The sequence below is a fragment of the Homo sapiens genome, chromosome 1, assembly GCF_000001405.40.
Source record: "Homo sapiens chromosome 1, GRCh38.p14 Primary Assembly".
In the NCBI taxonomy this organism is placed as follows: Eukaryota; Metazoa; Chordata; class Mammalia; order Primates; family Hominidae; genus Homo; species Homo sapiens.
The window spans coordinates 160,496,458-160,523,446 of NC_000001.11; the positions used below are offsets into that span (position 1 = coordinate 160,496,458).

Sequence of the window (26,989 nt, forward strand, 5' to 3'; positions counted from 1 at the left end):
CTTTCACCTAACGCTGCCAGTCTGTTAGAGCTCTCTGATACCAAAACTCAGAGATATGACAGAGTAGGAAAGGGTAGGAGATGTTTCTAAATGAATAATCACAGTCCCAGAGCTTCACCTCCAGCAAAATGTCAGCCACTCTTGGTTAGTAGGCAGCTAGTCTAGATGAAACCGGCCCAGTCCACGCTGGGTCCTACACTGGCTGGTCACTCCTAGGTCATAACTATACTTTGTGATCCTAGCCTCTGAAGTCCTTGGACATTAGGTTGAGGGGGACAGGAAACTATAGACTCCAAAAACTGCAAGTCTTTGCTAATAAAGCATAATTAAAGCCTGATATTTACTGATTACTTACTGTGTGTCCAACATAGTAGGCTTGTGCAACTTAGAAGGCTGGTAACAGGGACTAATATCAGGGATTTATAGGATAGTCAGTTCTTCTTATATATTATTTCATTGACGCTGACTACAGTCTGTGAGGCAGGCAGGATGGATATTATTACTTCCATTTATAGATAAAGGAACTGAGCTACAGAAAAGTTAACTAATTTTCCCAGGGTTGCACAGCTAAAGAATAGCAGAGTCAGGATTCAAACCCAGGTCTTCTGACTCCAGTGACTTTGTGCTGTCTTCATGATACCAGAAGATTTTTTTTTAATTCTCTCAGAAAGATTATAGTTTAGTTATTGAGGAGACAAAATGGATACATATAGAAATAATAAATATAATTTCAAAGTAACACATGATGGCCACATTCTTGTGAACTTATTCAGAACTATCAATGTTTAAGCAAAAACGGTGAAATGGTCACAATGATTCTTAAAGAAGATGCTTCCTTAGCATCCTTTCCCAAATTCTTAGCAATTATTACACTATTTTGTAGTTTTGTTCACCTGTTTGTCTAACTGACCACGCCTTAATTAGCCTTGCATGTCAGTACTCAGCACCATGTCTGACACATAGTAGAGTCTGTGGAAATGTTCTAGTGGGTCAATGAATGAATAACTATAACAATTACCTCAACCTTCTCAGGATCTCTTGCTTCTTTTTCTTAAAAATTTCAACTTTTATTTTAGATATGGGGGTACATGTGCAGATTTGTTACATGGGTATATCACACCCAGATAGTGGACATAATAACTAATAGGTAGTTATTCAACCCATTACCTGTTCCCTTCCTTCCCCCTCTAGTAGTCCACAGCGTCTATTAATCCCATATTTATGTCCATGTGTGCTCAGTGTTTAGCTCCCACTTATAAGTGAGAGCATGTAGTATTTGGTTTTCTGTTCCTGTGTTGGTGTGCTAGGATTATGGCCTCCAGCTCCACCCGTGTTACTGCAAAAGACATGATTTAATTCTTTTTTATGGCTGGTTAGTATTCCATGGTGTATATATACCAAATTTTCTTTATCCAATCCATCATTGATTGGAACCTAGGTTGATTCTGTGTCTTTGCTATTATGAATAGCATAGTATGAACATACAAGTGCATGTGTCTTTTTGGTATAATGATCTATTTTCCTTTGGCTATATACCCAGTAATGGGATTGCTGGGTTGAATGGTAGCTCAGTTTTAAGTTTTTTGAAAAATCTCCAAACTGCTTTCCACAGTGAAAATTTATATTTCCCAATAACAGTGTATAACTGTTTCCTTTTCTCTGCAACCTCACCAAGTGGGACCTAGCACCTGTTTTTTTTTTATTTTTTGACTTTTAATAATAGACATTCTGAAAGAATGAAGGGTCCAGTTTCAATCTTCTGCATATGGCTATACAAAAATACAAAAAAGTGTATTAGTGTATTCTGAATTTTCTGTTCTCTTCCAGCTGTCATTCTGACAGAATGGCTATTATTAAAAAGTCAAAAAAGTGTTATTTGTCCATTTTCACACTGCTGATAAAGACATACTCAAGACTAGTAATTTATAAAGGAAAGATGTTTAATTGACTCACAGTTCCCCATGGCTGGGGAGGCCATGGCACTCACAAGCATGGTGGAAGGTGAAGGAGGAGCAAAGTCACGTCTTACATGGTGGCAGGCAAAGAGAACATGTGCAGGGGAACTCCCCTTTATAAAACCATCAGAACTCATGAGACTTATTCACTATCATGAGAATAGCACAGGAAAGACCTACCCCCAGATTCAATTACCTCCTACCAGGTCCCTCCCATGACATGTGGGAATAATGGGAGCTCTACAGTTCAAGATGAGATTTGGGTGGGGACACAATCAAACCATATCAAAAACCAAACCAGCATCTATTGTGTTCTTTTTTTTGACTTTTTAATAATAGCCATTCTGACTGGTGTGAGATGGTATTTCATTGTGGTTTTGATTTGGATTTCTCTGATGATTACTGATGCTGAGCATTTTTTCATGTTTGCTGAGTGCTTGTATATCTTCATTTAAGAAGTGCCTGTTCATGTCCTTTGCCCATTTTTTAATGGGGTTATTCGTCTTTTTGCTTATTGGTTTAAGCTCCTTATAGATTCTGGATATTAGACCTTATGTTGGGTACATAGTTTGCAAATATTTTCTCTCATTCTGTAAGATGTCTGTTTACGGTAATGATAGTTTCTTTTGCTGTGCAGAAGCTCTATAGTTTACTTAGGTTCCACTTGTCAATTTTCGTTTTTGTTGCAATTGCTTTTGGGGACCTAGCCAAAAATTCTTTGCCAAGGCCAGTGTCAAGAAGGGTATTTCCTATTTTTTTCTAGGATTTTTATAGCTTGAGGTTTTACATTTAAATATTTGATCCATCTTGAGTTAATTTTCGTATATGGTTAAAGGTAAGGGTCCAGTTTCAATCTTCTGCATATGGCTAGCCAGTTATCCAGCACCATTTATTGAACAGGGAGTCCTTTCCCCATTGCTCGCTTTTGTTGGCCTTGTCAAAAATCAGATGGTTGTAAGGGTGTGGCTTTATTTCTGAGTTTTTTGTTCTCTTCCAGTTGTCTATGTGTCTGTTTGTGTAACGGTACCATGCTGTTTTGGTTACTATAGTCTTATGGTATGGTTCAAAGTCAGATAGTGTGATGTCTCTGGATTTTTTGTTTTTGCTTAGAATTGCTTTGACTATTTGGGCTCTTTTTTTGGTTCCATATGAATTTTAGAATGGTTTTTCTAATTCTGTGAAGAATGACATTGGTAGTTTGATAGGAATAGCACTGAATCTAGAAATTGCTTTGTGTGGTATGGCCATTTTAACGATGTTGATTCTTCCAATCCATGAGCATGGAAAGTTGTCATTTCTGAGGGTTTCTTATTTCTTATAGGAGGAGCTGAATAGGGAAGGAAATGTCTCTTGGAGTCCTAGTGCTCAGCTCCTGGGTGAGCTTGCACTTCCTCTCTCTTTCATGAATTGTCATATGGGTTCCAGGCACATGAACATTGCTGTCATCAACATCTTTCCCATCAGCATTTTAACACACTGTTATTTGTCATCTTTATTCCTCTTTCCTCTGAATCACATGGGTGAATACCACAAGCAACATTTTGAGCAGAATGTCCAGATACCAGAGAATACAAATATATGATTCTATTTATTTAAAGTTGATAAACAGACAAATCTATGCTGTCAGAAGTCAAGAGAGTGGTTACCTTTGAGGAGGGAGAGGTGGTGAATAGGAGGGAGTATAAAGGAAGGATCCTGGAATACTGATAATGTCCTATCTCTAGATCTGTATTTGGCTACACAGATTTGTTCATTTTATGATAATTCATTGAGCTGACATTTAAGATTCGTATAGTTTTTCTCTTTGTATTTCAGTTTAAAAAGTTAAAACAGTAACAAAAGCAGAGCAAAACAAAATCATGTCTATGGTCTATAAGGACCAAAATGATCTGGCCATTTCTCTTTCTTTGACCTAATTCCTATATTCTCCCCCTTGTTCACTTTGCTCCAGCCCCCTTGGCTATTCCTTGAGCAGGCCAGGGCTTTTGCATTTGCAATCCTTTCTGTCTGGAATGTACTTTCTCCAAGTATCCATGCAGCTCACTCTTTTGCCTCCATAAAGTCATTAATGCAAACATTCCTGCTCAGAGAATTTAAAGAAGTGTGACCACTCTTTTTGCACCATCAGCCCCCATCCACCCTTGCACATCCAGCTGCCTTTGGATTTACCATCTAGTACTTACCATCTAGTATACTTTATAATTTAAATATTTGTTTTTGTTTATTTTCTCACCTCTCCACTAGAATGTAATCTCCATGGAGACAAAGATTTTTGTCTGTTTTGTCTACTATTGTGAACATTCTTGAACAGCACCTGGCACATAGTAAGCATCCCATGAATATTTACTGAGTGAATGGACATATCTCCATCCCTTCTCTTGGAGGTTTTCTGTCTAGAATGTTAAAGCTCAGTTCCTTTTGGTAGGGAGTCTGGGCTTACTCAGTGGCCTAAGGACTCACCAGGAGCTGTTCTTCCCTTGCCTGGAACGCTTGTTTAAGTTCCATTGATTTTATAGATTGAAATAATTAGTTTATGTAACAAGATTTTATCTATGGCTATTTATGCTGCTTACAAGAAGAAAGTCAAGGCTAAGGCAGAGTGGTAGCCTGTCTAGGCATTAAAGGAGTGCCCCAAAACAGAGCCAATCTGCAAAGACAAGCACAGAAATTTATTTATTTGTTTGTTTGTTTATTCATTCTGGTGTTCAAATATTCTAATATTTGCTAACTTCCATGCTAATTCAATTAGTAAAACCTTAGGAACCATGGCATATTTATTAGGTCTGTTTTATGTACCAGTTTCTAGACTGGAAACTGGGAATATAAGATACTGTCAGTCCTCTGGGTCCATCATCTGATAGAGGAGCCTGACAGGTAAATGAGTAGTTAGTTCTGATGTGGTGGGTTGGGCATTGAGCTAGTGTAAGGCTTGCCTCTGCATTGCCCTCGTATCACTATTGCAGTTATACATGCAATTGCAAGCAGTTCTTTCTCTTTGTTATAATTACAAGATTATTTTCTTTTCTTTTCCATAATCTTGAGGTCAGGGATTCTGATTATTATTTCTATATTCCTAGAACTTAGCACACAATTTCTAGCTCAATAAATGTTGAATTGTTAGAGATATGTGCTCCATGGGAGCAAAAATTTAGAGAATCATGAACTGGGAAGAGTTGGGAGTTGTCAGGGAACAGTTCACAGGAGATGACACTGTAGCAAAGTCTTGAATAAAAGCTATGAGTTCTCCATTACTTAATTATTTGTAATTCTTCCAATAATGCCTTGCTTTTTTTTTTTTTTTGCACTGCTTTTCCCTCTGCTTAAAATGCCTTTCTTCATCTTTCCTACATGGTAAGCTCCTATTTATCCTTCAAGGATGAGCTAAAATATCTGTTTGCCTCTTATATTTATGGGGGTTTTGCATTGGTACATGGGGAAGGGGAGAAAGGAGTTTGTGGTGAAGCAAAGGGAGAAGGAGCACAGGATGGATGAGATGGTAGGAATAGTTCCCCACAGACCCAAAACCAAACCAAAGCAAAACTAGATTTGAGACAATATGCTTAGGGACAGTGAAGGTCAGATGCTACTGAAAATGTTTAAAAGACCCTGCATGAGACTTTGGACAGGAGCAGAGCTGCTTCAGGGCCAAGGTGTTGTGGTGTGGCCCAGAGGGCACATGGAGGTCCTTTTCTCTGCTCTGCCAGGAATCAACACTGATGCTTTGGGAGCATCCGGGACCAGCACCCTTGGCATGGACATTGATGTTCTTGGAATAAGCAGGGCATCTAAATGGCTCTGCTGGCATCCTGTGTGGGGGACTAGAACCAGAAAAGGAGATTAAGAATGGGAAAGATGCCTCATGTTGGCTACAACTCGTAGGCTGCTTTGGGGACTCATGGGAAGCTTTCCTTTGAGACTCTCATAAGTCACTGGGGAACTCCTTGCAACATGAAGGTGATGCTGAGGTCTTGCCCATCCACTGGTGAGGATGTCAAGACAGCAGACATTTGGGGTACATTTGTTTACAAGTTTCATCTACTGTATGATGTGTTTTGGGGAACTCAAATAATATCTTAGTCAGCATTGTATTTCCCCATAACCTGGTCCAGGGAACTCAGTGAATGTTAAGTAGATTGGAATTAGAATAGAGAAGTTTTTAAGGGTTACCTGATTAGTGGAGGGTTAGTTTGGAAGGTATTAAAAAACATGAAGTATTTTTGAAAATTGGCAAAGTATAAAGAGAGCAGTGTCTTAGGAAAGAGAGGAGAGAGGTAGAACTAAGCAGATTCTGAAAAAGAGAGAAAAGTCAAGGAACTTTGGGTTTCTAACCTGAGGGACTAGCTTAGGCCCATCTATAGCTAACAGGAATATAGCAAGCTGTGTTAGCTCCACAGGAGGCAAATGCAGTATGAAAGAGAGTAGGGGCTGATTTCTCAAGAGAATTTAAAGAGAAGGGAGGAGAAACATAGTCAGGATATTGAGAAGGTAGGACAAATGGAAGTTACTCTTTAGGTAACAGAGTCCTGAGCAAATTTGGAGCAAAGGGAAGCAGCTGGGAGAAAAAGAAAAAACTTAAGATATGGTGAAAGGGAGTATTCAAAACGGTGTCATTTCTGAGGAGGAAGCCAGGGTGGGCTTAGGAGCATAAGTGAAGAGGTTAGTCTTGGGTAGACGTGGTTCTCCTTTTCTTTTGAGACTGAAAAGAATAAGGTTAAAGATCTCAAAAGATTTAGAGGGTAAAGGGGAAGAAGTTGGAATATTTCGCTTATGTTTTTCTCAAAGTTGTTCTAAGAGAAGTAGATCTCATAGAATCTAGAGGAAGACGGATGAGACATGTAAAAGCTGCTATGAGGAATTTGTTAGGAAACTGACAAGTCATCAATAAATGAGTGTGGAAGCAGTGAGGAGGAATTGGCCAAGCTTGGTTGACACGCACCATTCATGGAGTCCATCCAGTTTTGCATTGGCTGGTGCGAAAGTGATTGCGGATTTTGCCATTACCTTCAATGGGAAAATCCGCAATCACTTTTGCACCACACTAATAACTTTCTCCAATGATTATAGCACTTGTAGCCCAGGAACAGGGAAAGAAGGTGCTGGGGATCACCTAATATTAGCAATAGGCATAGTATAGGTAGGTGTGGCATCAAAGGGGAGAGGGATTTCAGGGGAATGGTGACTACTTTGTTGAAATTGCTGGCCTAAAGTCTGAGGGTCAGTGACATTAGTCAAAATGGCACAATAAATAACTGCAAGGGTCCATCCCTCCACAAAAAACATGCACACTCATGCGAACACACACAGAGTGAGCAAACATTGTCAGAATCAACTTTGTCAGAACTGTAGAAACTAGTCAAAGGTTTATAGCAACCAAACAAATGATGGGTCAAAAAAAGAGGCAACTTAAAAATGCTAGGAGTTCTAGTCTGGCCAACATGGTGAAACCCTGTCTCTACTGAAAATACAAAAATATCAGCCAGGCAGAGTGGAACATGCCTGTAGTCCCAGCTGGGGAGGATTGTTTAAACCTGGGAGGCAGAGGTTGCAGTGAGCTGAGATCATGCCATTGCACTCCAGCCTGGGTGACAGAGTGAGACTCTATCTCAAAAAAAAAAAAAAAAAGCAAAAGAAAAAAAGGAGTTAAAAAAAGCCAAATACATAGAAACAAAGTATAAAGCAGTGGTTATCAGAGGTGGAGAGAGGGAACAGAGAGGAAATGGGGAGATGTAGGTCACAGGGTACAAAGTTGCAGATATGTAGGGTAAATAAGTCTAGGAATCTAATATACAACATGAAGGCTATACTTATATTATTGTATTGTATACCGAACATTTGCTCAGAGTAGATTTTAGATACTCTTACCATACTTGCACAAAAAGGGTAACAGTGCAAGATAATGAATATGTTAATTTGCATGACTAGGGTAACCATTTCACTGCATATATCAAAATGTCATGTTGTACAGCTTAGATATACACAATTAAAAAAAAATCATTGGGGAGCTTTGCAGAATGTTTGATTGCCCTTTCCCCGATCTTTTTTCTCCAACTTGATAGCAGTCTTGAAGACAGCCGTCTACATTTTCAGTAGGAGACCATGGTCACTGGTTCCAGCAGGCATAGAGCAGAACTGGTTCTGAAAGAATTGTATTTGTCTGTTTTCAACTATCTGGATGCTCCCTAAAAAACTGAGGAAAAGCACTTGTCTTTGTCTCAACTACCTCTCTTTCAGGTAGAAAATTAGCCATGCAGAGGACATTTCTCATAAACACTGAAAGGCAATGAATAACCCATCAATACCTGGGGCAAAACATTATAGTGGAGGCAAAAAATAGATATGTCGAATGCCTGGGAAGAAAAGCTGGGGAGAAAGATTCTTAGAAGAATTCAGGCATTAAGAAAATGTCTGCTTATACCAGGGAATTTGGAAAGCCACATACATGCCTAGGGCAGGGTGCATACTTAGAAAAGTTCTGAGAAGACTCTAAGATTTTATCTATGGCTGATAATTATGCTGGGTACAAGAAGAAAGTCAAGGCTAACGCAGAGTGGTAGCCTGTCTAGGCATTAAAGGAGTGCCCCAAAACAGAGCCAATCTGCAAAGACAAGCACAGAATTTATTTATTTATTTGTTTGTTTATTCCTTCTGGTGTTCAAAGAAATATCTGTCAAAACACTAGTTGACCATAAGCTAAAGAAAAAGACATTTTAGAGACTACATGTGACAAATAATATGTTTACAAAAATAGTTTAGAATAGTCACTAAAAAAACAAGAATTACAACCCAGAGCAAGGAACAAAACAAAATACTGAGGAAGGGGAAGAGTCTGATTTCCAGAGTTATCATATTATGGTATTAAAAATATCTAGTTTCAACAAAAAATTATAAAGCATGTGAAGAACAAGAAAGTGTGACCCATTCACAGGTGAAATAAACAGAAATTGTCCCTAAGGAAGGACAGATACTGGATTTGCTAGACAAAGTCTTTAAGTCAACTGTCTTTTTTTGAGACAGGGTCTCACTCTGTTGCCCAGATTGGAGTGCAGTGGTGTGATCTCAGCTCACTGCAACCTCTGCCTCCTGGGCTGAAGTCATCCTCCCACCTCAGCCTCCTGAGTAGCTGGTTCTACAGGCACATGCCACCATCCCTGGCTAATTTTTAAAATATTTTGTAGAGATGCAGTTTCACTATGTTGCCCAGGCTGGTTTGAACTCCTGGGCTCAAATGATTTACCTGCCTCGGCCCCCACAAAGTGCTGAGATTACAGGCATGAGCCACCCTGCCTGGCCTCAACTATCTTAAATATGCTCAAAAAGCTAAAGGAAACAATGGACAAAGAACTAAAGGAAATCAAGAAAAGGATATATAAAGAAAAGAGAATATTTTTAAAAGATAGAAATAATAACAAGGAGCCAAGTAGAGATTCTGGAGCTGAAAAAATACAATAATTGAAATAAAAAATTCACTAGAGGCTTTCAACAGAAGCTCTGTGTAGGCAGAAGTAAGAAATAGCTAATTCAAAGCTAGGTCAATTGAAATTATCCAGTTTGAGGATCAGAAAAGAAAAGAGTGAAGAAAAATGTACAGTGCTTAAGAGATTTGTGGGACACCATCAAAAATACCAAAAAATAAGCATAATAGGAGTCCAAGGAGGAGCAGAGAGAGAGAAAAGGGCATAAATAATATTTGAAAAAATAATGGCCCCAAACTTCCCAAACTTTATAGAAGACATGAATTTATACATCCAAGAAAGTCAATGAACTCCAAGAAGAATGATCACAAAGAGATCCATAACAAGACATATTATAATCAAACCAGAAAAATGAAAACAAGGAGAGAGTCTCAAATGCAACAAGAGAAAGCAACTAGTCATGTACAAGTCATGCTCAATAAAATCAACAGCCAATTTCTCAGAAGAATCCATGATTGCCAGGAGGCAGTGGGATGACATATTTAAGGTGCTGAAAGAAAAAAAAACACCCATCAACCAAGAATTCTACATCTGAAAAAATTATCCTTCAAAAATGAAGGAGAAGTTAAGACATTTGCAGATAAACAAAAGCAGATAGAGTTTATTGCTAGTAGACTTGTACTGTAAGAAATACTAAAGGGAATCTTTCAGGCTGAAATAAAATCACACTAGAAAGTAACTCAAATCCCTACCAAGAAACAAAGAATGAAGGTAAATCTGACTGCATAGATTAATACAAAAGCCAGTATTCTTGCATTTTTGCTTTGCAACTTCTCCTTTTTCCCACATGATTTAAAAGACAAATGAGTAAAACAATAATTATAAATCTGTTAATGAGCACACATGCACAAAGATGTAGTTTGTTACAACAACGTAAAGGCAGCAGAATGAAACAACATTGGAGCACAGTGTTTGTATATTATTGAAGCTAAGGTAGTGTGAATTCAAAATAGCTTGTTATAAGTTGAAGAGGTTAAATGTAACACTGAGGATAACAATACAATAACTAAAAATACAGGAAAGGAAATGAGAAAGGAATCTAAACTTAAAAATATAAACTATACATGAAAGAATAGAATAGTGGAGGGACTGAGGGGAAAAGGTTTAAGACATACAGAAAAGAAATGGCAAAATGCAAGAAGTAGGTCCTTACATATCAGTCATTACTTTAAATGTAAATGAATTGAACTCTTCAATTAAAATGCAGAGATAGGCAGAATGAATTGAAAAAACAGGATTCAACTATTTTCTACATACAGAGATTCACTTTAGATTCAAAGGCACAAATACTTTTAGAAGAAGAAGATGGAAAATGATATTCCATGCAAGTAGTAACCAAAAGAGAGTTACAGTAGCTATACTAATATTGGCAAATAGACTTTAAGTCAAAAATTATTAGTAGAGGCAAAAAAGGACATTATACATTAATAAAAGGGTCAACCCTGCAAAAAGTTATAACAATTATAAACACATATGCACCAAACAACAGCCCCAAAATATATAAAGCAAACAGTAACAAAATTCAAGGGAGAAATAGATAGTTCTACAGTAATAGTTGGAGACATCAATACCTCACTTGCAATAATGGTCAAAACAACTAGAGAGAAGATCAATAAGGAAATAGAGGACTTGGAAAACATTATAAACCAACAATACCTAACATATATATGAAAAACACTACATCCAAACACAACAAAATATACATTTTCCTCAAATGCACATAAGTCGTTCTCATAGGACAGACCATATATTAGGCCACAAAAACAAGTCTCAATAAATTATAAAAGACTTAAATATATGATGTCTTCTATGACCATAAATGGAATAAAACTGGAAATCAAGAACAGAAGGAGAATTGGAAAATTCACAAATATGTCATAATTAACATAGTGTAAAATAATCAATGGATCAAAGAAGAAATAACAAGATGAATTAGGATATATCTTGACACCAAGTGAAAACAAAAACAAAGCTTACCAAAACATGGGATGGAGCAAAAGTAGTGCTCAGAGGGATATTTTTATCCCTCTGAAAGAAAGAAGGAAGACTAGGAATCCAACTTAAAAGGGATGTGAAGGACCTCTTCAAGGAGGACTACAAACCACTGCTCAACAAAATAAAATAGGACACAAACAAATGGAAGAATATTCCATGCTCATGGGTAGGAAGAATCAATATCATGAAAATGGCCATACTGCCCAAGGTAATTTGTAGATTCAATGCCATCCCCATCAAGCTACCAATGACTTTCTTCATAGAATTGGAAAAATCTACTTTAAAGTTCATATGGAACCAAAAAAGAGCCCACATTGCCAAGACAATCCTAAGCAAAAAGAACAAAGCTAGAGGCATCTCACTACCTGACTTCAAAATATACTACAAGGCTACAGTAACCAAAACAGCATGGTACTGGTACCAAAACATATATATAGATCAGTGGTACAGAACAGAGGCCTCAGAAATAGCACCACACATCTACAACCATCTGATCTTTGACAAACCTGATAAAAACAAGAAATGGAGAAAGGACTCCCTATTTAATAAATGGTGCTGGGAAAACTGGCTAGCCATATGTAGAAAGCTGAAACTGGATCCCTTCCTTACACCTTATACAGAATTTAATTCAAGATGGATTAAAGACTTAAATGTTAGACCTAAAACCATAAAAACTGTAGAAGAAAACCTAGGCAATACCATTCAGGATATAGGTATGGGCAACGACTTCAATACTAAAACACCAAAAGCAATGGCAACAAAAGCCAAAATAGACAAATGGGATCTAATTAAACTAAAGAGCTTCTGCACAGCAAAAGAAACTACCATCAGAGTGAACAGACAACCTACATAATGGGAGAAAATTTTTGCAATCTACCCATCTGACCAAGCGCTAATATCTAGAATCTACAAAGAATTTAAACAAATTTACAAGAAAAAAAAAATCCCATCAAAAAGTGGGCAAAGGATATGAAGACACTTCTCAAAAGAAGACATTTATGCAGCCAACAGACATATGAAAAAATGCTCATCATCACTGGTCATCAGAGAAATGCAAACCAAAATCACAATGAGATACCATCTCACACCAGTTAGAATGGCTATCATTAAAAAGTCAGGAAACAACAGATGCTGGAGAGGATATGGAGAAACAGGAACACTTTTACAATGTTGGTGGGAGTGTAAATTAGTTCAACCATTGTGGAAGACAGTGTGGCAATTCCTAAAGGATCTAGAACTAGAAATACCATTTGACCCAGCCATCCCATTACTGGGTATAAACCCAAAGGATTATAAATCATGCTACTGTAAAGACACATGCACACGTATGTTTGTTGTGGCACTATTCACAATAGCAAAGATTTGGAACCAACCCAAATGTCCAACAATGATAGACTGGATTAAGAAAATGTGGCACATATATACCATAGAATACTATGCAGCCATAAAAAAGGAAGAGCTCTTGTCCTTTGTAGGGACATGGATGAAGCTGGAAACCATCATTCTCAGCAAACTGTCACAAGGACAGAAAACCAAACACCACATGTTCTCATTCATAGGTGGGAATTGAACAATGAGAACACTTGGACACAGGGTGGGGAACATCACACACTGGGGCCTGTCAGGGGGTGGGGAGCTGGGGGAGGGATAGCATTAAGAGAAATACCTAATGTAAATGACGAGTTGATGGGTGCAGCAAACCAACATGGCACATATATACCTATGTAACAAACTTGCACGATGTGCACATGTACCCTAGAACTTAAAGTATATTAAAAAAATAAAGAAGGAGGAAATTTACACTTTAAAAAACTAGACAAAGAAGAGCAAACTAAACCCAAAGCTATTAGAATGAAGCAAATCATAAAAATTAGAGCAGAGATAAATAACATAGAGAATAGAAAAACAAGAGAAATAATCAATGAAACCAAAAGTTGGTTCTTTGAAAAGATAAACAAAATTGACAAACCTTTAGCTAGATTGACAAAGAATAAAATAGAAAAGATTCAAATTACTAAAAGTAGACATAGAAGTGGAGACATTACTACAGATCTTATAGAAATAACAACTAAAAGGATTAAGAGAACACTATAAATAACTATATGCCAACAAATTGAATAACCTAGATGAAATAGATTTCTGGAAACACATAAAATACCAAGACTGACTTAAGAAGAAATAAAAAATTAAAGAGGACCTATAACAAGAAAAGAGATTGAATCAGTACTCAAAAACCTCCTGACAAAGAAAATCCAGATGGCTTCACTGGTAAATTCTACTAATTATTCAAAGAATAATTAGTTTCAATTATTCTCAAGCTCTTCCCAAAAATAGAAGAGGAGAAAAACACTTCCTAAGTCATTTTACTAGGTCAGCATTACCCTGATACCAAAGCCAAAAATATCAGAAAAAAGAAAACTACAGACTGATATCCCTTATGAATATTGATGCAAAAACTTTCAACAGAATACTAACAAACTGAATCCAGCTCATATTAAAGGGATTATACACCATGACCAAGTAGAATTTATCTCAGCAATGCAAAAGTGGTTCAATACATGAAAACCAATCAATGCAGTATATGATATTAACAGAATGAAGAAAAATAGACTAATGGCCATCTTAGTTGATGCAGAAAAAACATTTGAAAAAAACCAGCACCTTTTAAATAAAAACACTTTAGAATCTAGAAATAGAAGGGAACTTCCTCAGTCTGATAAAAGGCATTTATGAAAACCCACAGCTAACATTTTACTCAAGGATAAAAGACTAAAAGCCTTTCAAATAACAGCATGAAAAGGCAACAGTGCCCAGTCTCACCACTTCTATTTAATATTGAACTGGAAGTTCTAGCCAGAGCAATTAGGCAAGAAAAATAAATAAAATGCATCTCAATTGAAAAAGAATGTGTAAAACTATTCCTATTCACAGATAACATGATGTTGAAAATAGAAAATCCTAAAGAATCCACAAAAATGATCAGAGCTAATAAATAAATTCAGCAAAGTTGCAAGATACAAAATCAATGTATAAAAATCAGTTCTGTTCCTACACACTAGCAATGAACAATCTGAAAAAGAAGTTAAGAAAAGCAGTTCCATGTACAGTAGCATTCAAAAGAACAAAATACCTGGCAATAATTTAACCAGAGAAGTTCAAGATAATACACTGAAAACTAAATAACATTTCTGAAAGAAAGAAAATCTAAATAAATGGAAATACATCCTATGTTCATTAATTGGAAGATAATATTAATATGCCGATACCACCAAAAGCAATTTATAGAGTCAATGCAATCCTTATCAAAATGTTGATTTTTTTTCATAAATGGAAAAGCTAATTCTCAAATTTATATGTGATTTCAAGATGCCCCAAGTAGCCAAAACAATATTGTAAAAGAAAAGCAAAATTGGTGGACTCACACTTTCCAATTTCAAAACTGATACAGATATGGTAATCAAAACAGTGTGGTACTGGCATAAAGATAAACTTATAGATGTCTATATGAAATTAAATTGAGAGTCCATAAATAAACCCAAACATTTATGGCCAGGTGATTTTTGACAAGAGTGCTAAGATCATTCAATAGGGAGAGAATGCTCTCTTTAACAAATGGTGCTGGGACAACTGGATATCCACATTCAACAGAATGAAGTTGGGCCCCTTCCTCTCATTATATGCAAAAATTATCTCAAAATGTATCGATCACCTAAATATAAGAGCTAAAACTCTTAGAAGAAAACATAATGATAAATATTCATGATTTTTGATTTGGGAATGGATTCTGATATATGACACCAAAAGCATAAGTAAGAAAAGATAAAATGTGGGGAGGGGCCAAGATGACTAACTAGAAACAGCTGTGGTTGGAGGATCCCACTGAGAAGAACGAAAACAGTGAGTGAATCCTGCACCAGCAACTAAGGTATCCAGGCTCACTCATTGGGACTGACTAGGTGGTTGGCATGACCCACAGGGAGTGAGGAAAACAGGGTGGAACAACAGCCCACCTGGAAGCTGATGGGGCAAGGGGTGCTCCCACCCCCAGCCAAGGGAAGTGGTGAGTGATTGTGCTACCCCACCCAGGAAACCATGCTTTTTCCATGGATCTGTGCAACCCATGGACCAGGAGATCCCCTCGTGAGCCAACACCACAAGGGCCTTGGATCCCAAGCACAGAGCTGTGCAGATTCTCAGCTGCCACTTGGCTGGAGACCGTCTAAGACTACTGAGTTCTTGGGGGAAGGGGCAGCAGCCATCACTGCAGCTTCTGTCTGCTGCTTTCCCCTGCCAGTGCCAGAGGGACTGGTGGTTTGGAACCAGGAGGAATTCCCCATGGTGCAGCACAGCAGCTGTGGCAGACTGTGGCCAGACTGCATCTTTAGGCTGGACCCAGACTCATCCCTCCTCACTGAATGGGACCTCCCTGTGGGAATTTCAGCAACTCCAGCCAAGGGTTTATGGACAGAACCCTGATCTCCCTGGGATTGAGTCCCTGTGGGTACTGGGGCTGCGGACTCTGTGGATCATCAGACTTAGTCTTTTCCCCTGCTGGCTCTGAGGAATCTGGGCAGTCTGGATAAGTAGGATCCCCCCCACCACAGCACATCCTTTCTGCCAAGGGACAGACAGAATGCTTCATTAAGTGGGTCCCTTATCTTGTGACTCCTGACTGGGTGAGACTCCCCAGCAGGGGTTACCAGACACTTTATACAGGAGCACTCCCACTGTCATCAGTTTGGTGCCCCTCTTGGACGGAGCTCCCAGAGGAAGAAGCAGGCAGCCATCTTTGCGGTTCTGCAGCCTCCACTGGTGACACCACCAGGGTGGGGAGGGACCCAGGTGAATAGGATCTGGAGTGGGCCCCCAGCAAACTGCAGCAGTCTTGCAAAAGAGGGTCCTGTCTGCTAAAAGAAAAACAAACAGAAAGCAACAACAACAGCATCAACAAAAAAGTCCCCACAAAAAGCCCATCCAAAGATCAGCAGACTCAAAGATCAAAGCTAGATAAACTCAGGAAGATGAGAAAGAATCAATAAAAAATGCTGAAAACTCAAAAAGCCAGAGTGTCTCTTCTCCTCCAAATGATTGTAACACCTCTCCAGCAGGGCACACAACTGGGCTCAGGCTGAGAAGGATGAACTGACAGAAGTAGGCTTCAGAAGGTGGGTAATAATGAACTTTGCCGAGCTAAAGGAGTATGTTCTAACTCAATGCAAAGAACCTAAGAATCAGGATAAAACATTACAGGAGCTATTCATCAGAATAACCAGCTTAGAGAGGAACATAAATGACTTGATGGAACTGAAAAACACAACATGAAAACATCACAATGCAATCATAAGTATCAATAGCCGAATAGACCAAGTGGAGGAAAGAATTTAAGAGATTGAAGACTATCTTGCTGAAATAAAATAGGCAGACAAGATTAGAGAAAAAGGAATGAAAAGGAACAAACAAAATCTCTGAGAATTATGGGATTATGTAAAGAGACCGAACCTACAACTGATTATGGTACCTGAAAGAGACAGGTGAATGAAACAAAGTTGGAAAACATACTTCACGATATCATCCAGGAGACTTCCCCAACCTAGCAAGACAGGCCAACATTCAAACTCAAGAAATACAAAGAACCCAGTAAGATACTCCATGAGAGGATCAACCACAAGACACATAATTATTAGATTCTTCAAGGTCAAAATGAAGGAAAAAATGTTAAGGGCAGCCAGAGAGAAAGGCCAAGTCACCTACAAAGGGAAGCCCATCAGAATAACATCAGGCCTCTCAGCAGAAACTTTACAAGCCAGAAGAGATTGGGGGTCAATATTCAACATTCTTAAAGAAAAGAATTTTCAACCCAGAATCTCATATCTGGCCAAATGAAGCTTCATAAGCAAAGGAGAAATAAAATATTTTTCAGACAATCAAATGCTGAGGGAATTCATCCACCACCAGGCTTGACTTGCAAGAGCTCCTGAAGGAAGCACTAAATATGGAAAGGAAAAGCCATTATCAGCCACTACAAAACATACTGAAGTACACAATGAAGACCAATGAAACTGTGAAGCAACTACATCAATAAGTCTGCAAAATAACTAGCTAGTATCATGATGACAGGATCAAATTCACACATAACAATACTAACTTTAAATATAAATGTGCTAAGTGCCCCATTTAAAAGACACAGAATGGCAAGCTGGGTAAATTGTGAAGACCCATTGGTGTGCTGTATTCAAGAGACTCATCTCACATGCAAACACACACATAGGTTCAAAATAAAGGGATAGAGGAAAATCTACCAGGCAAATGGAAACCAGAAAAAAGCAGGGATTGCAATCCTAGTTTCTGACAAAATAGACTTTAAAGCAATAAAGACCAAAAAAGACAAAGAAAGGCATGGTAAAGGGTTCAATTCAACAAGAAGAACTAACTATCCTAAATATGTATGCACCCAATACAAAAGCAGATTCCTAAAATAAGCTCTTAGAGACGTACAAGGAGATGTAGACTCCCACACAATAATAGCGGGAGACTTTAACATCCACTGTCAATATTAGGCAGATCATTCAGACAGAAAATTAACAAAGATATTCAGGACTTGAACTCAGCTCTAGATCAAGTGGACCTGATAGACCTCTACAAAACTCTCCATCCTACAACAACAGAATATTCATTCTATGCATTGCCACATGGAACTTACTCTAAAATTGATCACATAATTGGAAGTAAAACACTCCTCATCAAATACAAAAGAACTGAAATCACAACAAACAGTCTCTCAGACCACAGCATAATCAAATTAGAACTCAAGACAAAGAAACTCACTCAAAATCACATAGCTACATAGAAATTGAACAACCTGCTCCTGCATGACTCCTGGTTAAATAATGAAATTAAGGCAGAAAGCAAGAAGTTCTTTGAAACCAATGAGAACAAAGAGACAATGTATCAGAATCTCTGGATGCAGCTAAAGCAGCTGTTAAGAGGGAAATTTAGAGCACTAAATGCCCACATCAAAAACCTAGAAAGATCTCAAATTGAAATGCTAACATTAAAACTAAAAGAACTGGAGAACCAAGAGCAAACAAACTCCAAAGCTGGCAGAAGACAAGAAATAACCAAGATCAAAGCAGAACTGAAGGAGATAGATAAAAGAAGAATGCTTCAAAAAAATCAAGGAGTCCAGAATCTGGTTTTTTGAAAAACTAATAATATAGATAGACTGCTAGTTAGCTAGACTAACAAAGAAGAAAAGAGAGAAGAATCAAATGGACACAATAAAAAATGTTAAAAGAGGATATCACTACTGACCCCACAGAAATAAAAACAATCATCAGAGAATACTATAAACACCTCTATGCACATAACCTAGAAAATCTAGAAGAAATGGATAAATTCCTGGACACATACACCCTCCCAAGACTGAACCAGGAGGAAGCTGAATCCCTGAATAGACCAATAACAAATTCTGAAATTGAGACAGTAATAAATAGTCTAAAAGAAAAAGCCCAGGACCAGAAGGATTTACAGCTGAATTCTACTAGAGGTACAAAGAGGACCTGGCACCATTTCTTCTGAAACTATTCCAAACAATTGAAAAGGAGGGACCCTTCCCTAATTCATTTTATGAGGCCAGTATCATCCTGATACCAAAACCTGGCAGAGATACAACAAAAAAGAAAGCTTCAGGCCAATATCCTGATGAACACTGATGCAAAAATTCTCAATAAAATACTGGCAAACCAAATATAGCGGCACATCAAAAAGCTTATCCACCCTGATCGAGTTGGCTTTATTCCTGGGATGCAAGGCTGGTTCAACATATGCAAATCAATAAATGTAATTCATCTCATAAACAGATCTAAAGACAAAAACCACAGATTATCTTAATAGACACAGAAAAGGCCTTCTATAAAATTCAACATCCCTTCATGTTAAACACTCTCAATAAACCAGGTATTGATGGAACATATCTTAAAACAATAAGAGACATTTATGACAAACCAACAACCAATATTATACTGAATGGGCAAAACTGGAAGCATTTCTTGTGAAAACCAGCATAAGACAAGGATGCCCTCTCTCACCACTCCTATTCAGCATAGTATTAGAAGTTCTGACCAGGGCAATCAGGCAAGAGAAAGAAATAAAGCATATTCACACAGGAAGAGAGGAAGTCAAATTATCTTTGTTTGCAGATGACACGATCCTATATCTAGAAAACCCCATCATCTCAGCCCAAAAGCTTCTTAAGCTCACATGCAACTTCAGCAAGATCTCAGGAAACAAAATCAATGCAGAAGTTACAAGCATTCTTATACAACACACACAGGCAAGCAGAGAACCAAATCATGAATGAACTCCCATTCACAATTGTTACAAAGAGAATAAAATACTTAGGAATACAGCTAACAAAGGAAGTGAAGGAACCTCTTCAAAAAGAACTACAAACCACTGCTCAAGGAAACCAGAGAGGACACAAACAAATGGAAAAATATTCTGTGCTCATGGATAGGAAGAATCAACATCATGAAAATGACCATACTGCCCGAAGTAATTAATAGATTCACTACTATTCCCATTAAACTATCATTGACATTTTTCACAAAATTAGAAAAAACTATTTTAAAATTTATATGGAACCAAAAAAGGGCTCATATAGCCAAGACAATCCTAAGCAAAAGGAACAAAGCTGGAGGCATCATGCTACTGGACTTCAAACAATACTATAAGGCAGCAATAACCAAAACAGCACGGTACATGGTACTGGTACAAAACAGACACATAGACCAATGGAACAGAATAGAGAACCCATAAATAAGACTGCACATCTACCACTATCTGATCTTCAAAAAACGTGACAAAAACAAGCAATGGGGAAAGGATTCACTATTTAATAACTGGTGCTGGGAGAACTGGCTATCCATATGCAGAAAATTGAAACTGGACCCCTCCCTCACACCTTATACAAAAATTAACTCAAGATAGATTAAAGACTTAAATGTAAAACTCAAAACTATGAAAACCCTAGAATACAATCTAGGCAATGCCATTCAGGACATAGGCATGGGCAAAGATTTCATTATGAAATCACTGAAAGCAATTGCAACAAAAGCAAAAATTGACAAATGGGATCTAGTTAAACTGAAGAGCTTCTGCATAGCAGAAGAAACTATTATCAGAGCCAAGAGGCAACCTACAGAGTGGGAGAAAATTTTTGCAATCTATTCATCTGTTAAAGGTCTAATATCCAGATTCTACAAGGAACTCAAACAAATTTACAAGAAAAAAATCAAACAACCCCATTAAAAGGCGAGCAAAGGACATTAACAGACACTTCTCAAAAGAAGACATTCATGCAGCCAACAAACATGAAAAAAAGCTCAACATCACTGATCATTAGAAAAATACAATTGAAAACCACAATAAATTACCATCTCATGACAGAATAGTGATTATGAAAAAGTCAAGAAACAACAGATGCTTGTGAGGTTCTGGAGAAATAGGAACACTTTTACACTGTTGGGAATGTAAATTAGTTCAACCATTGTGGAAGACAGTGTGGCAAATCCTCAAAGATCTAGAACCAGAAATACCATTTGACCCAGCAATCCCATTTCTGGGTATATACCCAAAGGAATATAAATCGCTCTGTTACAAAGATATATGCATGCATATGTTCATTGCAGCACTATTCACAATAGCAAAGGCCTGGAATCAACCAAAATGCCCATCAATGACAGACGAGATAAAGAAAATGTGGAACATATACACCATGGAATACTATGCAGCCATCAAAAGGAATGAGATCATGTCCTTTGCAGGAATGTGGATGAAGCTGGAAGCCATTATCCTCAGCAAACTCATACAAGAACAGAAAACCAAACACTGCATGTTCTCACTTGTAAGTGGGAGCTGAACAGTGAGAACACATGGACACAGGGAGGGAAACAACATGCACTGGGGCCTCTTGGGGAGTGGGGTTGGGGGAGGGAGAGCATTAAGAAAAATAGATAATGCATGCTGGGCTTAATACCTAGGTGATGCGTTGGTAGGTGCAGCAAACCACCAGGGCACAGGTTTACCTATGTAACAAACCTGCACATACTGCACATGTACCCAGAACTAAAAATAAAAATTAAAAGAAAGAAATGTATTAATTAGTTCCCCCAACAAATATTTTCTGAATATCTGTAACTATGAATTCCATTAAACTTACTCTTCAGGTGTTAAAAAAAAAAAGAAGACATTTATGTGGCCAAGAAACATGGAAAAAAGCTCAACATCACTGGTCATTAGAGAAATGCACATCAAAACCACAATGGGATACCATCTCACACAGGTCAGAATGGCAATTATTTAGAAGTCAAGAAAAAACAGATGCTGGCAAGGCTGTGGAGAAATAGAAACTCTTTTACACTGTTGGTGGGAATGTAAATTAGTTCAACTATTCTGGAAGACAATGCGGGGACTCCTCAAAGACCTAGAGGCAGAAAGACAATTTGACCCAGCAATCCCATTACTGGGTATATACCCAAAAGAATATAAATCATTGTTATAAAGATATGTGTATGTGCATGTTCATTGCACGTGTATCTTCATTGCAGCACTATTCATAATAGCAAAGACATGAAATCAACCCAAATGCCCATCAATGATAGACCGGATAAAGAAAATGTGGTACGTATACACCACGGAATACTATGCAGCCATAAAAAGGAATGAAATCATGTCCTTTGCAGGGACATGGATGAAGCCAGAAGCCATTATTCTCAGCAAACTAATGCAGGAACAGAAAGCCAAACACCGCATGTTCTTTAAGTGGGAGCTGAACAATGAGAACACATGGACACAAGAAGGGGAATGACACACACTGGGGCCTGTCGGGGGTGGGGCAGGGGGGAGAGAGAGCATCAGGAAAAATAGCTAATGTATGCAGGGCTTAATACTTAGGTGAGGTTGATAGGTGCAGCAAACCACCAGGGCACATGTTTACCTATGTAACAAACTTGCATATCCTGCACGTGTATCCTGGAACTTAAAATAAAATGATAAAAAAGAAAAAAGATAAAAATAGGTAAATTGTGCTTCATCAAAATTAAAGACTTTTGTGCATCAAAGAACATTATTAAGAAAGTGAAAAGACAACCTACAGAATGGGAGAAAATATTTTCAGGTCATGTATTAAAGGTCTGGTTCCAAGAATGTATAAACAACTCTTATAACTCAATAGCAAAAAGACAAATAATTCAACTAAAATGGGCAAAGGACTTGAATAGACATTTCTCCAAAGAGGATATACAAATGGCCAATAAACACTTAAAAAGATACTCAAAATCATTTGTCATTGGGAAAATGTAAATCAAAACCACAATAATATACCACTTCACACCTATTAGGATGGTGATAATAATCTTTTTAAAAAGGAAAAAAACAAGTGTTGATGAGGATGTGGAGAAATTATAACTCTTGTACACAGCTAGTGGAAATGTAAAATGGTACAGCCATTGTGGAAAACAGTTTGGCAATTTCCCAAAAAGTTAAGCATAGAATTATATGATCTGACAAATCCATTCCTAGGTATATACCCAGATAAAAACAGGTAGTCAAATACTTGTACACATAGCAGCACTATTCGCAAGAGCCAAAAGGCAAAAACAACCCAGGTGTCCACTGATAGATAAATGGATAAATAAAATGTAGTATATACAGAATACAAAATACTATTCAGCCAAAAAGGAATGAAGTACTGATACATGGTTCAGCATAGGTGAACCTGGAAAACATGATGCTAAGTGAAAGAAGTCAGACACGAAAGGTCATATATTGTGTGATTTCATTTATATGAAATTATCCAGAATAGGTAAACCCACAGAGACAGAAAGCAGATCGGTATTTGCCAGGGGCTGGGGGGGAGGGGAGAATGGGAAATGACTGCTTAGTGGGTACAGGGTTTCCTTTTGGGGTGATGAAAATGTTTTAGAATAATAGAAGTGGTGGTTTCACAAAATGTACAAAATGTCACTTTAAAATTATTACATCCTGTTACAAGAATTTCACCTTAATAAAAAATGTCTGAGTGTGAACAGAGAAACAATCAAAGCTGAATCTGGGTTAAGGGACCAAAAACAGAGGCATGAACACCTGGAGGTCACATTGGAGATTGCAGATTCTGAGAGGTGGAAAAACACGTGTCTGAGGATAATGAAAAAATATAAAACAGCTCTCTGCCTGTTGAGCACAATAAACATTTGAAAGATGTGGACGGTTGGTAAAAAGTAGATAACACTGCTCGGGGGCCATCAGGTCACAATCTCTTCACAGAAGAGCATTGCACATTTTGACTCAACCTCAGAATCAGCCCTCATGTGTTTGCTTTACTTACATTTCCAACCACTGCTCTCTCCTGGACCTCAGAATACCTATATCTGCTTCCTGCAAACACACTCAAAGTTAGTTTCTATTTCTTCCTCCCTACAATCCCAGTATGACTGAAGTCCATTGGAATTTAGAACCTTGCTGCTTAGTGTGGTCCATGGACAGGCAGCATTGGTGTCACCTGGGAGCCTCTTAGAAATGCAGAATCTCAGTCCCTATTCCCCAATCAGCATTTTAATAAGATTCCCCCAAGTAATTTATATGCACATTTAAGTTTGACAAATTTCCAACTTTCCATCTATAAAAATCAAAATGAAGAAACAAACGAGATTTATTTTCTCTAGGAAGTCATGATGCTTGATTTTATTTACAATTATTGTTTTGTTCTGTTAGTTTTGCCACCCAGGGCTTGAGTTAAAGGAAATGGGATTATTTTTCAATATGGTTTGTCTTTTCCACTAAATTTTCTAAAAGGAGTCAGGATAGTGCCCAACCCACTTCAAAGAATGTAGGCTGGCATGAGTCATTGTTTTTCATGGTTGTTTCAAAGATTAATTTCATTTGCCCCACATTTTTGCAACAGTGGTCTTCTTTCCCTTCCTAAATCACTCCAGGCTCTTTCCTGCATCACGGCTTTTCACACATGATTCCCTCTGCCCTAAAATCTTCTTCATTTGACTTTTCCTGTTTAACTTTTCACACCCTTTAAATATCAGATGAGATGTTACTTTTCCAGGAAGTCCTTTCTTCATCACTCCGTCCAAAGCAGGTCCCCGTGTTTTTCTCTATGAAGGTGCCCTGCTTATTTTTTTTGCTGGCCTCACATTTTCTAATTATGTACACATTTGTGTGAATGTATGACTGTGTGTAAGCTAAGTAGCATAGTGAAGTGGCTATGAGCACAGACTCCGGAGCCAAGCTTCCTGATTTCCAATTCTAGCAGCCACTTCTCTCCTCCTGGGTCTCAGAACACCTGCATCTGCCTCCTGTAAACTCATTCAAATGTGTTTCTCTTTCTATACCCATTTCCCCCATAAATGTGGGGCAGTGAGCAAGTTACTTTAGTGTTCTGTGCCTTCTTTCCCCATCTGTGAAGTGGAGATTGGAGCACTGTATATTTCATAGGGTCATTATAAGAAGTATTCATGGAAATAGGGAGAAGAAGAGGAGTTTTAACACAAGGACATTCAGAATATTTTATTCTAGAGGTGGAAATAATTTTGCAGGGTGGTAAAAATGAAGCAAAAACTCAAGATTCTGCTCCTAGATCAGGAAGTGGCTCTTGAATGAAGGAAAGAATTCTCTCTCTTTCTGCATTTTATATATATTTCCCAAAGTTCTGTTCTCATTCCAGTTTTCTCCTCAGCTTAACATATCTCTATGCCATTGATTTTTAAGTCTCTAGCCTCAGCTCTACCCCTAGTCCTAAGTTCCCAGGATCCTCCACGTAACTTCCTCATGTATAGCACACTGACATCCTAAAATCAGTAGGTCCAAAATTGAACTCACCTTCCTCCTGTGGCTGCTCTCCACCTTCCAATTTTGTCACTTTCTTTGGCTATCCTGTCTGAAATTTCACTGCCGTCTTTACCATATTTCATCTCTCCCTTTCCTTCTTGATTTATTTCTTCCTACCCAATACACTATTTTACTTGTTTATCTTTTTTTACAGTTTGTCTCCTGCTAAAATGTTAACTCCATGAGGGCAGGAATTTTTGCTTGCTTTGTTCATGATGTATTCATGCAAACTAGAAGAGTGCCAAGCATTCAGTAGGTGCTCAATGAATATTTATTCCTTTCTCATTCCAATTACCAATTACTCTACTTAACTCCATATTGATGGGATCTCTTGCTTCAGTCTCTTCTTTCTCTTATGCTGCTGCCACACTTGTTGAACTGTTATTTTTTCTCATAACTATTACAAGAGCTTGTCGCATGCTGGCTAATGAAATTTGGGCAAATTATTTAAATTAAGTTCACCTCAGTTCTTCATTTTAAAATGGAGATATTAATAGTATAAATTCATAGAATTCTCATGAGACTCATAACGTGTGTACAGCACCTGGCACAATACTTGAAATACAATAAGTGCTCAGTGAATGCTTCCTACTTTTATCTGCTACCCTGGGCTAGCTCTGGACTAGATTTCCATTGGTCTCCTGGACTATCTCTGCCTGAATGCTACACTTTGTCTCCCGTGGACCACTTGTAGTTCCCCAAATGTGATATGAATCTTCATCTTCTCCATATAATGGACAGCAGGAAACAAGAAGCCAGCTGGATCAGTTCATTCTTTTCTCACTGCCATATATAATGCATTGCTGGACTAGCTAGCCCTAATTTGCACTAAAGGAGGGGAGAGATGGAAACCTTTTTTTTTGCAATGAGCAAAAGGTGAGAGGGTTATTTTTGGTGTGTTTGGTTGGGCCCAGAAAATTTGGCTCAACTGAATAATAGGTTTTTAATAATTTAGATGAGGATAGTGAGGTTCAGGAAGGATAAGTAACCTCCCTGAGGTTCACAGTACGATAGTAGATACATTGGTATGAGGGCCCATTTTCTTGGTCTTGGTACTCTTTATAACACAAGATGCTGGTCATAAACCACAAACAGTCTTGTCTTCAAAAGCTTATTTCCTCTGCCCCAGCAAATAACTTTCTTACATGCAGACACAATTGAAATTGTTCACCGACAACCATCTCAGGCTTATCGCATCCAAAGTTGAGAGGAGGTAGTAGTATATCAGGTAACACTGCCAGCGTCCCCTTTCCCGCCCCAATCCCTTGGCAGAGAGCCAGACAACTGTATACAGACGATTTAGGTTGAGCAAGCTGCACAAAACCAGGGAGTCACTCAGTGACTACACCGATCTGGATTGACATTTACCTGGGCCAAAGCAGAAGACAAACAGGAGCGATTGGAACAGCCACAACATGCTTTCCGCGGTGAAGACTGGTGCTTGAGACCTTGAGGCAGTCAATGTTTTTGCCCTTCTGTCATAAACTGAAAATACTTCTGAGACTTCCCCTTCCTCTTAGAGGCGTGGTGACAACTTCTTCCCCTGCACTAAAAATCCTAATTTGTAACTGTGTTAATTTTTTGTTTACTTTTTTCTGAGCTAAGTGCACAAATTTTTTTTTTTTTTGGAAAAGAAGATAAAGTCCTTTATTGCATCTTTCATAAACTTAT

The 26,989-nt window shown here is 38.1% G+C and overlaps 1 protein-coding gene across 6 annotated transcripts in view, besides 1 other annotated feature; it reads right to left on the reverse strand.

Annotated features, from left to right (window-relative positions):
• Positions 1-26,798, reverse strand: part of SLAMF6 (SLAM family member 6) — a 38,220-nt gene extending 11,422 nt beyond the window's left edge. For 5 of the 6 annotated variants that reach the window (NM_001184716.2, NM_001184715.2, XM_017000216.2 and 2 more), the window contains exon 1: positions 26,687-26,798. In NM_001184716.2, coding sequence (NP_001171645.1) covers positions 26,687-26,735 — 49 coding nt within the window. In that variant the 5' untranslated portion in view covers positions 26,736-26,798. Of the gene's footprint in view, positions 1-118; positions 11,137-26,686 lie in introns of those variants that run through there. The other variant, XM_047443866.1, reaches the window with a different exon arrangement.
• Positions 26,583-26,632: an enhancer, noted in NCBI's record as "active region_1929". NCBI's record gives its function as "activates an Ori minimal core promoter by ATAC-STARR-seq in GM12878 lymphoblastoid cells {active_cell/tissue: GM12878}" and the evidence as "EXISTENCE:reporter gene assay evidence [ECO:0000049][PMID:35858748]".
• Positions 26,799-26,989: the final 191 nt, after the last annotated feature.